This window comes from Homo sapiens, chromosome 17 (genome assembly GCF_000001405.40).
Source record: "Homo sapiens chromosome 17, GRCh38.p14 Primary Assembly".
In the NCBI taxonomy this organism is placed as follows: Eukaryota; Metazoa; Chordata; class Mammalia; order Primates; family Hominidae; genus Homo; species Homo sapiens.
This window is the reverse complement of record NC_000017.11, coordinates 63549108-63566920: the sequence shown is the minus strand read 5'-3', so window position 1 is coordinate 63566920 and position 17813 is coordinate 63549108. Positions and strand designations below refer to the sequence as shown.

Sequence of the window (17813 nt, the reverse complement as noted above, 5' to 3'; positions counted from 1 at the left end):
TTTTTTTGAGACAAGGTCTCATTCTGTCACCCAAACTGTAGAGCGGTGGCATGATCACAGCTCACTGCAGCCTTGACCTCCCAGGCTCAGGCGATCCTCCTGCTCAGGCGATCCTTCAGCCTCTTAAGGAGCTGGGACCACAGGTACACAGACACCACACCTAGCTAATTTTTGAATTGTCTGTAGAGATAGGGTCTCCCTCGAACTCCTGGGCTCAAACAATCCTCCCGCCCTGGCCTCCCATATTGCTGGGATTACCAGTGTCAGCCACCGTTGTCAGCTGTATTCTGCAATTTGCTTTTAACAATAATCTTAGAAGATCTTCAGTACAAATAGCTCTCCTTTCCCTCATTCTTCTATAGCAGATTATGGTAAGCACACCATAATTTATTTAACTATTCAGTTGTTTTGGTTATGTACCATTGTTTGCTAATACAATACTACTCTACTTTTGCTAATACTACTACTCTTACTCATTTATTTTTGTATGTGTGTGCAAATGTTTTTATTGGACAGATTCTATAAGTGTAACTGTTGTTTTTTTTTTTTTGAGACAGAGTCTCGCTCTTTTGCCCAGGCTGGTGTGCAGTGGCGCCATCTCTGCTCACTCTAAGTTCCGCCTCCCAGGTTCACGCCATTCTCCTGCCTCAGCCTCCCGAGTAGCTGGGACTACAGGCGCCTACCACCACGCCCGGCTAATTTTTTTGTATTTTTAGTAGAGACAGGGTTTCACAGTGTTAGCCAGGATGGTCTCGATCTCCTGACCTCATGGTCCGCCCACCTCGGCCTCCCAAAGTGCTGGGATTTTCGTTTTGTTTTTGAGACAGAGTCTCACTCTCTTGCCCAGGCTGGAGTGCAGTGGTGTAATCTTGGCTCATTGCAACTTCTGCCTCCTGGGTTCAAGCGATTCTCCTGCCTCAGTTTCCTGAGTAGCTAGGATTATAGGTACACACCACCATGCCCAGCTAATTTTTGTATTTTTAGTAGAGACAGGGTTTCGCCATGTTGATCAGGCTGGTCTCGAACTCCTGACCTCAAGTGATTTGCCTACCTAGGCCTTCCAAAGTGCTGAGATTACAGGCGTGAGCCACTGCACCTGGCCAGAGGCTGAGTACATTTGTTCATTGACTACCTTTACTTTTGAATAACAATAATCATTAATAACTGAGCACTTACATGGACCAAGTATAAGCATTATTAATGCTTTACACACATCATCTCATTTAATCCTCTCAATACTGCCATGAGGTAGGTACTATTATTCTTCCCACTTTCAGTAAAGAATGTTGAGTTAAATATCTTGCCCAATATCACAAAGCTCCATTTTATTATTATTATTATTTATTATTTTTTTGAGACAGAGTTTTGCTCTTGTTGCCCAGGCTGGAGTGCAATGGTGCGATCTTGGCTCACCACAACTTCTACCTCCCGGGTTCAAGTGATTCTCCTGCCTCAGTAGCTAGGATTATAGGCATGCACCACCACGCCCAGCTAATTTTTGTATTTTTAGTAGAGACGGGGTTTCTCCATGGTGGTCAAGCTGGTCTCCAACTCCCAACCCCAGGTGATCCGCCCACCTCAGCCTCCCAAAGTGCTGGGATTGCAGGTGTGAGCCACCATGCCCGGCCACAAAGCTCTATTTTAAATACAGGCAGTCCCATCCCACTACCCAAACTCTTCACCATTACACGGAAATCACCAGCTTAGAACATTTGTCCAGTTTTTCTACTGGGTTGTGGATATCTCTTTCTTATTGATTTGTAAGGACTTTCTCTCTTTTTCTAAGAGATGGGGTCTCACTCTCACCCAGGCTGGAACGCAGTGGCATGATCATAGCTTACCACAGCCTCCAATTACTGGCCTCAAGCAATCCTGACACCTTGGTCCTCCCAAAGTGCTGGGAATTATAGGCATGAGCCACTGAGCCCAACTCCTCATCTAGATTCGTGACTGTACTGTTACAAATTGTTAGTAGCACTCTCATTCTTTAAGCTCCTCATCCCCCAACACCACATTTCCGCCTATGCCCATAGGAAGGATGAGTTTTTGCCCCAGTCCCCCATGGAGGGAATACTGAGCGTGGGAGTTCTGCTCTTCTGTCCCCACCACTCACTAGCTCCTCCGGTGGGGGAAGAATTGCTGAAGTGATTGGCTGAAGCCCGAGACAGGTGCATGGGCCTGACCACTCTACAGTCAGACATGTCCCATGGCTCTCTGGCTCTGGCTTATCCTGCTCCTACATGGACAGGCAAATTGGCCTCCTCAGAATGGGCCTGACCATCCTCCGCTCCAGTTTCTCTGAACCTACAACTGGGTAGGAGAGGTCAGATTGGGTCTGTCCTTGAGTCAGAGGTAGAAAAGCAGAAAGTTTCACTGAGGCTTCAAGGCCAAACTGCATTTTCCCCACTTAGTTCACCAGGGAGCAGCACCACATTAGTGGTTCTTGTTCGGTTATTAATAAAATGATGCTAGGTTTCCCCTTTGGCTACTATTATTTGTATATAATTTCCTTGATAAGACTCCAGTGGAAAAAGAGGTGAGTGCTAGAATTTAGATACCAGAGTTCTAGCCTGAACCCCTTACCATTATATCCTCTAACATTTTCTTGTCCATTTTTACAAGTTTTATCTATTTTGATGACATTCCAATTGGGTTTATTACATTCTTTAAATGTACTTTTAGATTGTAAGAGGATTATAAAGTGTATCACATCATATAAAATCAAACAAAACACAGGTGTGTGTGTATATATGTGTATGTGTGTGTGTGTGTGTGTGTGTGTGTATAAAGTTAACATCCCTCTATGTCATCCCCAAGATATCACATAATTTGTTGTGTGTTGCTTCTACATTCTTCTATATGGTCAAACATATATACATTAAGTGTAAAGTTTTCCCTCAACTTTTAGAAAAATGAAATTCTAGAGCCAAGGCTATGAATCTCTATTAATTTGACAAAATAATGGACATCCCTCAGAGCAATATGAAGAGCCAAATCATTTTTTTAATCTATGTACCGGGATTCCCCCAGTGCTGTACACTGTTTTCTCTTACTTGCCGCTACTTATTTTTATTATTTATTTATTTATTTATTTATTTATTTATTTGAGACAGAATCTCACTCTGTCGCCCAAGCTGGAGTGCAGTGGCACGATCTCAGCTCACTGCAACCTCCACCTCCTGGGTTCAAGTGATCCTCCCATCTCAGCCTCCCGAGTAGCTGAGACTAGAGGTGCCCACCACCATGCTAGGCTAAATTTTTGTTTTGTTTTGTTTTATAGAGATGGGATTTCACCATGTTGCCCAGGCTGATTTCAAACTCTTGAGCTCCAGGGATTACAGGCATGAGCCACCACGCCCAGCCACCACTACTTATTTATATGCCTTTGTACATATGTGTTTATGAACTGCTGTATTTTTTTCTGGAGGCCAATGTCCTAACAGTGGGATTTCTGTATTAGAAAGTATGTGCATTTTAAATTTTAATAGACACCAACTTACTTTTCAAATAGACTGTAGCAACTAACATTCTTAGCAGCAGTATGTAAAGGTGTTCATTTCTCCATACTGTCAACAGCACTAGAAGCAATAACTTAATTTTTATAAATTTAAAAGGGAAAGATGATATCACAATTCTCATTTCCCTTAACTACCTGTGAGGTTCAGCATTTTTCCTGTTTACTGATCACTTGCATTTCCTCTCCTATGAACTAGATATTCATACCCTTTGTCCATTTTTCTATTGCATTGAGTATTAGCTACTATTGTCTGTCATGTTTTGAAAATATTTTCCGCCAGGCAGGGCTTGGTGGCTCATGCCCATTATCCCACTATTTTGGGAAGCTAAGGTGGGAGGATTGCTTGAGCCCAGAGTTCAAGACCAGCCTGGGCAATATGGCGAGATCCCATCTCTACAAAAAATAAAAATAACTAGCCAGGCAGGGTGTTGTGCGTCTGTAATTCTAGCAACTTGGGAGGCTGAGGTGGAAGAATCTCTTGAGCCTGAGAGGTTGAGGCTGCAGTGAGCTGTGAATTGTGCCACTGTACTCCAGCCCAGCTCATAGAGCAAGACAGTGTCTCAAAAGAAAAAAAAAAAAAAGAAAATATTTTCTGCGGTGTTTGGTTTTTTGTTCTTGTGCATATTCTCACTCATAGGTGGGAATTGAACAATGAGAACACACGGACACAGGAAGGGGAACATCACACTCTGGGGACTGTTGTGGGGTGGGGGGAGGGGGGAGGGATAGCACTGGGAGATATACCTAATGCTAGATGACGAGTTAGTGGGTGCAGCGCACCAGCATGGCACGTGTATACATATGTAACTAACCTGCACATTGTGCACATGTACCCTAAAACTTAAAGTATAATAATAATAATAAAAAATAAAAAATAAAAAATAAAAAAAGAAAATATTTTCTGCTGTCTTTTGACTTTGTCCATGGCATATCTTTCACAGAGAAATGTTTTATTTGTATGTACTATAGAATCTGCCAATCTTTTCCTTTGTTGACTCTGGAATTAATTAATGAGTGTCCGTGCGCACCCCCACTGCCTCATGACAAATTTCCTGATCAACTTTCTAATAATGTTTGTGGACTTTCCTTTATAATTAGACGTTTGATCTGGAATTAGTTTTCATCATACACTGTGAATTAGGGGTTCTAAATTTTTCTGCTAGATGAACAACTGTGCCATACGATGTAATCTTTTACCCAGTGAATTACAGTTCTATCTTATCACATATTTCACATTTATATATACTAAAGTTGTCTTTGAAATATTCTATTCAGTTCCACCTATCTCTCTGGCTATATCAATTCCAGTATGTTTATTCTAATCTGGTAGGGTAAGTGTTCCTCTGTTTTTCAACATGTTCTTTTTCCCCCTAAGTTTTTTTTTTTTTTTTTTGGACATTGACATACATTTATTCTGAACACTCTGGAGACAGACAGCACTCTAGTTCTGGCCCTCCTTTACCCCTTATATGACTTTGGGCAAGCCACTTAGCACATAGCTGAGCTTCAGGTTCCTCACCTTCCTGTAAGTTTTGATATGTAGCATTTTTTTTCCAATCAGTTGATTTCAACTTAAAAAAATTTTTTTTCTAAATACACAGTTTTTGTAAATTGGGTTATTGTTTAAAGTGAATTTTCCGTTGAATGCAAAGCTCTCTATACTTATAACACATTTTCTTCTTTCGAGATGGGGTCTCACTCTGTCACCCAGACTGAAGTACAGTGGCTCGATCTAGGCTCACTGCAAGCCACTGCCTTCTGGGCTCAAGCGATCCTCCCACCTCACCCTCCCAAGTAGCTGAAACCACAGGCATGGTGCCACCACATCTGGCTATTTTTTATATTTTGATAGAGATGGAGTTTCACCATGTTGCCCAGGCTGATCTCAAACTCCTGGGCCCAATGATCTGCCAGCCTCAGCCTCCCAAAGCGCTGGGATTACAGGTGTGAACAAACTGTAATTTTCTAACCCTCTATATCCTTGTTTTGTCTACTTCACTTAACAATTTCCAACATATGAACCAAATTCTCCCTATATTTACAAAATTTTTGCTTTCTATTTAAACGCTATACTCTTAGATATGTAAAGACTTATGACTTTTTATTCTTAGTCGGTTGTACTTTTCTTTTTTATTTTTTGAGATAGAGTCTTGCTCTATTGCCCAGGCTGGAGTGCAGTGGCGTGATCTCAGCTCACTGCAACCTCCGCCTCCCGGGTTCAAGTCATTCTCCTGCCTCAGCCTCCTAAGTAGCTGGGATTACAGGCACACACCACTACACCCAACTAATTTTTGTATTTTGAGACAAGGTTTCACCATGTTGGCCAGGCTGGTCTTGAACTCCTGACCTCAAGTGATCTGACTGCCTCAGCCTCCCAAAGTGCTGGGATTACAGGCATGAGCCACTGCACCCAGCCTGTAGTGGGGATTACAGGTGTGAGCCATCACGCCCAGCCTGTATGTTTAACATGTAAAATATTTCCTTTTGTTTCAACATTTTTGCCTTGAATTTTATCTGATGTTAATATTATCATGCCTGACTTCTTCTCTATAAAAAGAACTGCTTCTTGCTACTATATGCCTAGTGCTTCTTCATTCATTCCTTTCTGTTTATTCCTCTTTCTGAAGTTCTACTAAGATTTAATTTTTATTAATGTTAGCTTTTTTATTACTAACTTTCTTACTAGGTAATACATACACAAGGCCCAAATTTTGAAAGGCATAAAAGCAAAGCAATTACAGTACAAATTAGAGCCCCTACATCCCAGTCCCTTTCCCTGGAAAAATCAATGTTATCAATTTCTTGTGTATCCCTTCTACACACAACCACATATGGGTGTACATATGTATATGCATATGCTTTTAAAAAACACAGGTGTTTACTCTTCTACATATTTTTCCACCGAATATTTATTTTAAAATATTCCATATCAGTATATGAAAAGCTAGCTCATTCTTTTAACAGCTGCATGGAGGTAGCATAATTTATTCAACAATTTCCCTAATAATAATATTTTCATATTTTTCTTTTACAAATAATGCTAAAATGAATATCCTTGCACTTTAGTCATTTCAACCACATGAGTATAGCTGTAGGATGAATTACCACTAGCGGAACTACCAGGTGGAAAATAATGCCAATTTAAATTTTGATAGCAACTGCATGGGAAAGCTACACATACGTGTATACACACACACACAGTAGATTACCACGGTTTTTTATTTTTCCTAATCTAGCTGAAACTCCATTTTTTTTTTTTCTTATGAGGTTCAGTTCTTCATACGTTCAAGAATCATTTACATATCCTTTCTGGAAACTCTTCCTATCTATTTCTCTTTTTCTACTGGGTGACTGGTCTCCTGGTGATTTGCAGATCTTTATATGCAGTTATTAAGGGATTTGTTCTTTGTCTAGGACATTACATGTATTTTTTCAGTTTGTCACTTATCTTTTGACTTTGGTTTTGTTACAGAGATTTTATTTTTATATAGTTTACTTCTACTTTCATGGCTTTCTCACACCAAGATTCTCCCGTGTTTTACAGTTATATGTTTACATTCTTCCATTTATCTGGAATTCTGGTACAAGGTTTTTTTTTCTTTGAGACGGAGTCCCACTCTGTTGCCCAGGCTGGAGTGCAATGGTGCCATCTCGGCTCACTGCAATCTCTGCCTCCTGGGTTCAAGCGATTCTCCTGCCTCAGCTTCCCGAGTAGCTGGGATTACAGGCACCTGCCACCATGCCCGGCTACTTTTTGCATTTTTAGTAGAGACAGGGTTTCACCATGCTGACCAGACTGGTCTCAAACTCCTGACCTTAGGCGATCCACCCGCCTCAGCCTCCCAAAGTGCTGGGATTACAGGTGTGAGCCACTGCACCCGGCTGGTACAAAGCTTAAGGTAGAGATCCAATTTTTTTTTCTGGTTTCAATACCAATTATTAAAAATATATATATATATATATACACACACATATATATATACGTATATATATACATATATATACATATATATATACATATATATACACATATATATATACATACATATATATACGTATATATATGTATGTATATATATATACATATATATATATATATGGGTCTCACACTGTCACCCGGGCTGGAGTGCAATGATGCAATCTTGGCTCACTGCAACCTCCACCTCCTGGGTTCAAGTGATTCTCCTGCCTCAGCCTCCCAAGTAGCGAGGATTACAGGTGCCCACCACCATGCCTGGCTAATTTTTCGTATTTTTAGTAGAGACGGGCTTTCACTATGTTGGCCAGGCTGGTCTCGAACTCCTGACCTCGTGATCTGCCTGCCCCCGCCTCCCAAAGTGCTGGAATTACAGGCGTGAGCCACTGTGCCTGGCCTTAAAAATATTTTTTCTTCATTTCCTATCACCTTTAGCACAGACTACATTTCTTTTTGTATTCTGAGTTCATTTCTAGACTCTGTTTATACATCAGTTCTTAGAGTATCAAACGATCTTATTTATTATATCTTTGCATTATGTTTTAATATCCATCATTAGTCCACCTTTTCAGAAGTTTTTTGACAATGTGTGCATGTTTGTAAAATTTATCTGTAGAAACAATCAGTTTGCCTGGTTCTAAAAAACCATTATTAAAAATCTGGAGTATTTTTGGCCAGGTATGGTGGCCTATGCCTGTAACCCCAGCACTTTGGGTTGGGCAGGCAGGAGGACTGTTTGAGGTCAGGAGCTCAAGACCAGTCTGAGCAACATAGTGAGACACCTACTGATTAAGCCCAGGAGTTTGAGGTTACAGTGAGTTATACTCACACTACTGCACTCTAGCCTGGGCGACAGAGCGAGACCCTGTCTCCAGAAAAAACAACTGTGGTATTTTAAACAGGGATTACATTAAGTTTAGGGACACTGACATCTTTAGGATACCAAGCTTTACTATACAAGAAAAGAGAATACCTTCCCATTTTTCGAGTATTGTTTTGTGTTCCCCAGCATTATTATTTCCACATAAACCTTACATATGCCTAAGTATATCCCCAAGTATTTATAGCAGCACAATCTACAGTATTTGTACATTCCTAGACATTGCTCCATGGCCTTCTGTCATCAAATGTAGCTAGCCTAATTTCTTTTCCCCTCTTAAAGAGGACTTGATCATTTTGTCTGGGTGTCCAAATAATTCTTTCTTCATCCTTAAAACATAGAAATGTTCCTAGGGATGCCAGGCTCTGTGCCAGGCCTGTAGTCCCAGCACTTTGGGAGACTGAGGTTAGTGGATCACTTGAGCCCACAGTTTGAGACCAGCCTGGGCAACATGGCAAAACCCTGCCTCTACAAGAAATACAAAAATTAGCGGGCGTGGTGGTGTGCACCTGTAGTCTCAGCTACTCGGGAGGCAGAGGTGGGACAATCGATTAAGCCTAGGAGGTCAAGAGTGCAGTGAGCTGGGATCATGCCTCTGCACCCAGCCTGGGCAACAGAGTGAGACACTGTCTCAAAACAAAACAAAACACACGAAAAATAAGATAAATTTTTTAAAAAAGAAATTTTCCTAGGAAATGTTTCAGTGCCAACTGTTCAGTGCCAATTTTTCTTATCACTTCATGCCAATTTGAACTTATCACTTCAAATCTTTGGCAAGTTCAAATCATGCCAATTTGAACTTATCACTTCAAATCTTTACTTCTAAGTTCTTCTTTAACCATATATTTGAGTTTGTTTCATTTCTTTGGTCCTCTTCTTGAGGGACACCAATTATACTTACGTCAGATCTCTTTTACTTTCTGCATCTATTATGTTCTCATTGTTTTCTTCAGTTTCATTTTTCAATCTGTCCTCCCTAACCTTTACTGTTTTCAGCACTGTGTGTTCATCTTTATTCTGTTTCTTTCTTTCTTTTTTTTTTTGACAGTCTCACTTCATCACCCAGGCTGGAGTACAGTGACATGATCTCGGCTCACTGCAACCTCCTCTTCCCAGGTTCAAGTAAGTCTCCTGCCTCAGTGTCCCAAGTAGCTGGGATTACAGGAGTGAACCACTGTGCCCAGCCTTTATTCTGTTTCCAATGTGGCTTTTAATCCTGTGATAATTTTAGTTTTCTCTTCCACTACTTTCCTGTGTGCTCTGCCAGCTGATGTTATATTTTCTCTTTGCCATGCCTTATTTTACCCAATCCTCTATATCTCTGCTTGAAGTTCTGTATTTTCTTAAGTTCTTTGAACTCACAGTGGTAGGACTGACAATTATTTTTCAACCAAGCTAAAGACATCTTTTTAGTATGGGTACTTTATCTGCCACTTATTTTCCATTTCCCCCCATCCTTTCTAATAGCATCTTTCTACAGCTATTGTGCTGATTCCATTTGTTTTGTTTTTTTGGTTTTGAGATGGCGGTCTCGCTCTGTCACCCCAGCGGGAGTTCAGTGGCAAGATCTTGGCTCACTGCAGCCTTGACCTCCTGGGCTCAAGTGATCCTTCCATCTCAGCCTCCTGAGTAGCTGGGACTACAGGTGCATGCTACCACTCCCAGCTAATTTGTTTTTTCTTTTGAGATGGAGTTTCACTCTGTCACCCAGGCTGGTGCAGTGGCACAATCTTGGCTCACCACACCTCCGCCTCCCAGGTTCAAGTGATTCTCCTGCCTCAGCCTCCCAAGTAGCTTGGATTACAGGCACGCACCACCACATCTGGCTAATTTTTATATTTTTAGTAGAGCCGGGGTTTCACCATGTTGGTCAGGCTGGTCTCAAACTCCTGACCTCGTGATCCGCCAGCCTCAGCCTCCCAAAGTGCTGGGATTACAGGCATGAGCCACTGCGCCCGGCCCTGATTTATTTTTTCTTTTTGAAACAGTCTTGCTCTGTTGCCTAGGCTGGAGTGCAGTGGCACAATCTCCGTTCACTGCAACTTCTGCCTCCCAGGTTCAAACTATTCTCCTGCCTCAGCCTCCCAAGTAGCTAGGATTACAGGCATGTGCCACCATGTCTGGCTAATTTTGTATTTTTAGTAGAGACAGGGTTTCTCCATGTTGGTCAGGCTGGTCTTGAACTCCCGACCTCAGGTGATCTGCCTGCATCCACCTCCCAAAGTGCAGGGATTACAGGCATGAGCCACTGCGCCTGGCCATATTCCACTTTAACACACACAGTCCTAGTGCAGAAGAAGAAGGTGAATGTGTGTATGTATATGTAATTTTTAAAATAAGCTCCCAAGTTATCCAAATCAACATAACACTCCAGTCACTGGAACATTTTCCCACAATTGTTAATAAAACAAAAATCGGCTAACACAATATTCTGAGAATATACACTAGCTTTTCCTGGTCTTTTCTATTTGCTTTCTCTTCAAGCCTCTTCCTGACTGATTACCAAGGACCAGTGTCTGCAGGTACCCAAGGTCCTGCCCTATTAAACTTTAAGATGAATTCTGGCACAGCACACCTTTGGCTCGTGGCTCAGAGGCTGACCAGAGAGCTCTGGCAGCGAGAGCTTTGGCAGCAAGTCCTTAGGCAAGCCAGGCTACCTACAGAGCATAGATTCACTCCTTGTTCAAGTGACAGCATCTCCAATAAGTCTATGTGAACAAGATTAGGACAAAAAGCAATAAAGTAGCATTTTTTTTTAAAGCATTATCACTTTTATCCAGTGGTCACAACAGGGAATGAGTCCTCTCACTGTCTAGAAAAAGGAGGAAGTTAAAACCAGAAGAGTTTTATGTCTTAAATTCCCCTGCTGACAGTCTTGACAGGGACTCGTGGAACACTGCGACATTCTAAATATCTATCAAAAGTACTGATGTGTACCAAAACACATTGTGCCTAAAACACATGAGTATGTGTTCAATACAGACCGGCTAAATTAATGAGCAAATGAATGATAATCCTGAAGGGCTACCGCAAATACCAAGATGAAAAATTAAATACCGGAGTCGAAATAATTATGCATCAAACATATAAAGTAATTGTATTAAAAACCTCAGAGGAATCAACACAGGCTGGTGAGGTGAGTACCCATCCCAGTGTTTCAAGTACAAGGTGGTCATGCCACCCAGACTCACTACTAGGATTCTCCAAAAAGCATCAGATATACCTACAGTCTCTCCTCAGAACCTCAAAAATACTCTCTGGATGCCAAATCTTAGAGCACAAGTAGTCAGTTAAATACTGGGGCAAACTAAATCCCAATCACACTGCCATCTTTATCAAAACCAACCCTGAAACATGCACTTAAGTGGAACAGAAGCCCAGGAACTGCTACCCAGCTTTTCCCAATAAAAGAGGGGAAATAACACCTGGGCCTAAAGACCAAACATATTGTCAAAACACAGGAGAAATGCCAAATTCTTATATCTGACTTACGTAGGTAAGCCAGGTAGAACAAGAGAAAATGGATTTAAACTAGAAAATTACACTACTTGGAGTCTGACTATAAGAATCTGCTAGACTACAAAATGAGTTGGGTTGAAAGAGATAAGGGAATTTTCCCCCCAGAGTCTTTAAAAGGCAGAGAATGAAATAATGACCTTTTCAGCTACCTTTCTGACCTCTTATTCCTGAATCCTTTCTGGAAAATACAAAAGTAAATTTACTAAACAGCCATATAATTCTCTTTGGTTATATTTCAATTACAGGTACAGTAATGATAATAATTAAATAACAGCTAACATCTCTATATGGCTTATTCCACACCGGGTGGCGTTCCTAAGTCCATTACATATATTAACTCATTTAATCTTTGAACAAGGTAGATGTTATTATTTATTGCCCTAATTTTACAGATGATGAAACTGAGACACAGAGGATAACTTGCCCAAGGCAATACAAAACTGGGAAGTGGCAGGACTTAGATAACCCAGGCTAATCACAGAGCTTTTTTCATGGGTGAACTTGGATGGAAGGGCAGAACCAATGTTTAGGAGCATGCAGACACAAAAAGATCACATTCTCGCCTCTGGCCAACAGATGCCAAGGCAGCTCCAGGGCCATGTTCTGAGAGTGCCATCTGGACCACTCAACCACTAGTGTGTCTGTCACCTATCTCCAAGTCTGTTAACTTCAGGGGTGGAGCCCAGGAATGTGCAGCTCCCTCAGGATTCTCACACACTAAAATTTAGAGAACCTGTTGCTCCAACACCAATCTTGCTGTATCCCTCAAGAGACCACAACAAAAGAAGGTAGAAACATAATAACCAATAATGAGGCTGTTTTTTGAGACAGGGTCTGGCTCTGTCGCCCAGGCTGGAGTGCAGTGGCGTGATCTTGGCTCACTATAACCTCTGCCTCCTGAGCTTAAAGCATCCTCCTACCTCAGCTTCCCAAGTAGCTGGTACTACAGGCAGATGCCACCATACCTGGCTAATTTTTTAATGTTTTTGTAGAGTCAGGGTTTCTCCATGTTGCCCAGGTTGGTATCAAACTCCCGGGCTCAAGCGATTCTCCCATCTCAGCCTCCCAAAGTGCTAAGATTACAGGTGTGAGCCACCACGCCCAGCCCTATAATGGGGCTTTTTATTCCAAGTGTAGTTGATAGAATCTGTTTCTTTACTCTGCAACAATTCCCAAATTTATTCACATGAAGGAACACCTGGAAGTCAATTTCTTAAACTGTTGATAGACTTAATTCTATGGATCAACTAGGTACAATTTTACGTTAGGAAAACATGATTATGCTAATGCAAATTTTTAAAAATTACAACCATGTTTTCTTAGTGAATGTCTCCACACTAAAAAGATGACCACTTCTAGCCTTTTTCATCAGTGTTAATTTGCTGTGTCCATTTTACTTTATCCTCTGCTGGTGACCACTATCCATGGCAAGCAGGAACCAATGGTCTAAAAATTCCAACCAATAATTCTAAAGTTCCTCCAAATTATGAAGTCGACCACCTCTTTGGCAGGGTTTCTCACAAACTTAGCCTGAGAATCACTTTAAGGCAGGATTTGCTGCTCACCAACCACTACACATACTTCTCTCTCGCAGGGTTTCTTAACTTGGGGTCTGTGAACTTGAATTGGAAAATTATCCCCATATTTCCATTAACCTCTAGCTAAATTTTTTTGTTTCCTTCAATTACAAATGGGGTCAGGTGCTCACAGTGGTATGACTGTCTGTGACTTTGCCAGCAAGAGAATTTTTTTTTCCCACCACAGCACAGTTGTTAAGCATCTTGAAATGCTGTTTACCCTTGTCACCATTTCAAAATTACATTAATAATTACAGTGGATGGTGTAAATCAATAAGTTAATTTATTAAAAGTACATATGACTACATCACCACTTTAAAAAACATGTTGTTTATATCTGTAGTGCAACATAAGTGGTTTCTTTTGTAATTCTATGTGTTTTATGCATTTGAAAACATAACTATGAGAAGGGGTCTATTGGTATCAGATGACCATGGCACACAGAATTTAAGAACCCTGATCTACTGATAGGTGGAGGCACAAAAATGATTTTAAGACAGCGCATTGCCTACATCATGTGAGTTAAGATATAGTTAACTGCTAATGCTGTTGATAGTGGGGTTATTAGTTTGCATTTCACTGCTAAGCCATGCTACCTGTGTGCCTGTCACAAAGAGGAAGCTCCAGATAGTTGCTAAATGAAAGGACAAACTGGGGTAGAGTTCCTGCAACAGCAGTTTGACTACTCCACTGATCCTACCAAGCAGCCTAACTGTGGCTCAGTTTCTCCTCTCTGAGGAATAGGAGTAACTATTGCTTACCCAACGACCCTGGAAAAACTTACAAGAAAAAACATTAATTTGTGTAAAAAGACTTAAGCCCTTTGAAAGACATACTTTTTTATTTTCCACGTGTATCTTTAAACAATAGTTCTAGTGGTCTTAATTTTATTAACACGGTGTCCACATCAGAATCGTGAATCCCATTTCCAGTTCTGCTGTCCACTATGGGCCATAAGGAAGAAAGAAGCAACAGAGGAAAGAAAGCTCTATCTCGCCCGGGCAATGGGTGGACTTAAAGATCAGTGCATATTCCTTGGATTTGTTTGTAAATTGTTCATGTATGTGTAATGTCTGGACAATGAGAATCCATAGCTTTCATCAGCTTCTCAAAGTGGACTCCAAAGAGGACCTACTCTAGAGAAACAAATGTGCTCCTGAAAAACTGTAAACAAACTGTGAAATGTTCAAATTTCTTTTTTACAAGACCCTCACATGTAAACCAGAACCCCTTCCGTACAAACTGTGGGTCACAGATAATAAAACAGGCCTGTGCAACATCTCACAGCTAGTCAATAACCAGACAGGACCACCTGGTTTCTTCCCCCCTGCATCAGCCTTGTCACTGAACAGTTTTATTCTTCTTTTTTTTTCTGAGACAGAGTCTCACTCTGTCGCCCAGGCTGGAGTGCAGTGGCGCCATCTCGGCTCACTGCAACCTCCGCCTCCCAGGTTCAAGCAATTCTCCAGCCTCAGACTTCCGAGTAGCTGGGACTACAGGCGCACTAAGCTACGCCCGGCTTTTTTTTTTTTTTTTTTTTTTTTTTTTTTTTTTTTTTTTGTATTTTAGTAGAGACGGGGTTTCACCGTGTTACCCAGGCTGGTCGCGAACTCCTGAGCTCAGGTAATCCGCCCGCCTCGGCCTCCCAAAGTCCTGGGATTACAGGCGTGAGCCACCGCGCCCGGCCAGTTTTACTCTTCTTAAATCTGATGTTCATGGCATAAAGCAGGAGTAGTGGCTTTAAATATCACTAGCCACAGCTTTCAGTTGCTCTGATCGCTATCATTCACAACTTTGAGTAAAAGGAAGAAAGAAAATTCTTCCAACTGACTTATTCAACTTTCAAAAATGAGTTTGTTGCAATGCCAGTTTAAAAGCTCCCCTACTACACCGTGCTTCTATAAAGGATTCTCAAATTGATGTATGTCCAGCAAGACTTACTACTAAAGGTCACACAACTGTACTAGCACGAAACAAGCCAAGAGATAAGGCCCTGTCATCCTTCTGTGTTCAGGAAACAACGGCGGGATCATGCCACAGGCCAAGATTTCCAAAGAGATTGCTTTAGAGAGAATGGATATCAGGAAGCAAGAGCAACAGTAATTCTGGCAGAAGGGCTAGGATCCATGAGTACCCGGGGGGGGTGGGAGTAGGGGGCGGGGAAGCTTGTACAATAGATCGTCTTAATAGAAATCTAGTGTGGCCAGGAGTGCACGACCACCAATAGAAGCGCCTGCATTTTCCTTCACAGCTATCACTCTCTCTTCCCTTCCCCGCCCACCAACGAAAGCAATGCGGCAGGAGTGGAGAGCACGGGATGAATAAATGGAGTATCTTTGGGGCGTAAACCCGGTTTTAAGACCTGTTTCCACCCCGAAATAGCTGCCTGACCCAGGCAAGTCACAAAACCGTGCCTCAGTTTCCCCACTACACTGCCGACTACACAAGAATGCTGCCTGGATTAAAGGAGACAGACAACGAGTACGAAACCTTCAGCACAGGGCCAGACAGAGGAACCGCTCCGTGGCCCTAGGGCGAGTCCGCAAGAGGGTTCTGAGGCCTGGGCTCCGGCCCGGAAAGGGCGCTCCCGGGGCCCGCTCCCCGCCAGCTGGGTTCCGAGCCCCTGCCCGGCCCACCTTGTTGTTGTACTCCTCCACGAAGCTGCCCAGCGCCAAGCGAAAGCGCTTATCGGGCCGCACACTCCAGTTCATCGCGTAGACTGTCCAGGGCGCTTCATACTTGTAGATCTCCTTCCGTTTGCCGTGCAGGGACATGGTGGCCACGGGGCCGCAGTACGGGCCGGGTCAACAGTGGGCTGCGGCGGGCGGGGAGCCGAGCCTGAGATCTATGGGTCCGAAGGGAGGAGAGGAGGGGGCGGGCAGGAACGGCCTAACCCGGAAGCGGGGATGCGGCGACAAACAACGACGACGGCCGAGCCCGACCCCTAGTTTCAAACCAGCTTGGGAACGGACGACAACCACCTTCCGTTTTGGGACGCCGCCCCGCCCTCTCGGAACGGAAGCCGCCGGACCCCCGCAGCGGCACCGGCCGTTGGTTGCCTGACACGTCCTTTCGAAAGGATTCTTTCTTGTCATTGGTTATTGCGGCCGTAGCGTCTGAAATCTCCTCGCTATTGGGTTAAATGTTTGTCATTGCAACTACTCGCCCCGCCCAACTCTCGGAGGCAGGCGCTTTGGCAGCCCCAAAGGTCATTGGTTGGCCAAGATGTCAGTCAGGCAGATAACGGCTCAGTGCGGGTGGTGGGGGCGTGGGTGGCCTGGAGGCGAGCGTGCTGTAGCAGCGGGCCTCCAAGTTCTAGGCCAAGTCTCTGAGAGTGAAACCGTCTGTGACCTGCGCTGACTTCCCCTCCGCTGCTGCTGTTCTGAGCGGCCTCTCCACGCTGTCGAGTAAAAGTACAATTCTGCCTTAGTGGAAGACCTACTGACTTTCGCGGGACAGAGCCCTGCGGCCTGGCAGCCTGGCCTGCGCCCAACGGGTACCACCTTCCCGCCCCATCTCTTCCCAGGGCCCTTTTAACCCGAAAGCTGCTCTCTCCGTGCCTCAGGGACAGGCTTCGGGCGCGCAGATGCGCTCAGGGCCAGGCCAGCTTGAGTCAGGCCCTCCCGCGCTTTCCTGCAGGATCTAGAAATGTCCCCGAATTCTGGGGTAGGCACCGACCCGACCAGCTTGGCTCTGTTTTTGTCAGTTCCCATCCTGTACCCTTCCCGCCGTGGATCCCAACGCAAATGCTAATCCAGCCCCAAAGGTATCTGTGCCTGTGAGTTGGAAAAGGGGAAGGGCCAGAGACCAAATGACACCTTTATATAAATTATTTCCAATTCTCAGCTTTCATCAAAATTGAAGGAGGTTTGTATTGAATTGTTGGATGATAACATTAAATACTTTTTTTTTTTTTTTTTAAAGACAGGGTCTTGCCCTGTCACCCAGGCTGGAGTGCACTGGTGTGATAAGGGCTCACTGTAGCCTGGACTGCCTAGGTTCAAACGATTCCCCCACTTTAGCCTCTGGAGTAGCTGGAACCACAGACATTTGCCACCACACCTAGCTATTTTTAAATTATTATTTGTAGAGATGAGATCTCTCCATGTTGCCCAGGCTGATCTCGAACTCCTGGGCTCAAGCGATCCTCCCACATCAGCATCCTAAAGTACTGGGATTACAGGCTTGAGCCACCATTCTGGGCACTAAATATAATTTTTAATGATAAATGATTTTTCCACCTCCCAGGTTCAAGTGATTCTCCTGCTTCAGCCTCCCGAGTAGCTGAGATTACAGGGGTGCACCACCACAGCCAGCTAATTTTTGTATTTTTAGTAGAGATGG

At 43.2% G+C, this 17813-nt stretch overlaps 1 protein-coding gene across 2 annotated transcripts in view, besides 6 other annotated features; it reads right to left on the bottom strand.

The window, feature by feature from the left end:
• The window catches only part of DCAF7 (DDB1 and CUL4 associated factor 7), a 43790-nt gene extending 27346 nt beyond the window's left edge, over positions 1-16444 (bottom strand). For both annotated transcript variants that reach the window (NR_073585.2, NM_005828.5), the window contains exon 1: positions 16106-16444. Coding sequence is in view for 1 of the 2 variants with exons in the window: in NM_005828.5 (NP_005819.3) it covers positions 16106-16243 (138 nt within the window). In the remaining variant the exon portion in view is untranslated. The remainder of the gene's footprint in view (positions 1-16105) is intronic.
• Positions 3969-4189: a silencer, noted in NCBI's record as "fragment chr17:61640093-61640313 (GRCh37/hg19 assembly coordinates)". NCBI's record gives its function as "represses an EF-1alpha promoter that drives an FKBP-Casp9 reporter gene in an ReSE screen in K562 erythroleukemia cells {active_cell/tissue: K562}" and the evidence as "EXISTENCE:reporter gene assay evidence [ECO:0000049][PMID:32094911]".
• Positions 15951-16100: a silencer, noted in NCBI's record as "silent region_8820". NCBI's record gives its function as "represses an Ori minimal core promoter by ATAC-STARR-seq in GM12878 lymphoblastoid cells {active_cell/tissue: GM12878}" and the evidence as "EXISTENCE:reporter gene assay evidence [ECO:0000049][PMID:35858748]".
• Positions 16121-16170: a silencer, noted in NCBI's record as "silent region_8819". NCBI's record gives its function as "represses an Ori minimal core promoter by ATAC-STARR-seq in GM12878 lymphoblastoid cells {active_cell/tissue: GM12878}" and the evidence as "EXISTENCE:reporter gene assay evidence [ECO:0000049][PMID:35858748]".
• Positions 16321-16400: an enhancer, noted in NCBI's record as "active region_12549". NCBI's record gives its function as "activates an Ori minimal core promoter by ATAC-STARR-seq in GM12878 lymphoblastoid cells {active_cell/tissue: GM12878}" and the evidence as "EXISTENCE:reporter gene assay evidence [ECO:0000049][PMID:35858748]".
• Positions 16530-17514: an enhancer, noted in NCBI's record as "H3K27ac hESC enhancer chr17:61626768-61627752 (GRCh37/hg19 assembly coordinates)". NCBI's record gives its function as "activates a minimal SCP1, AML or CMV promoter by ChIP-STARR-seq in primed H9 embryonic stem cells {active_cell/tissue: H9 hESC(primed)}" and the evidence as "EXISTENCE:reporter gene assay evidence [ECO:0000049][PMID:30033119]".
• Positions 16841-17230: an enhancer, noted in NCBI's record as "active region_12548". NCBI's record gives its function as "activates an Ori minimal core promoter by ATAC-STARR-seq in GM12878 lymphoblastoid cells {active_cell/tissue: GM12878}" and the evidence as "EXISTENCE:reporter gene assay evidence [ECO:0000049][PMID:35858748]".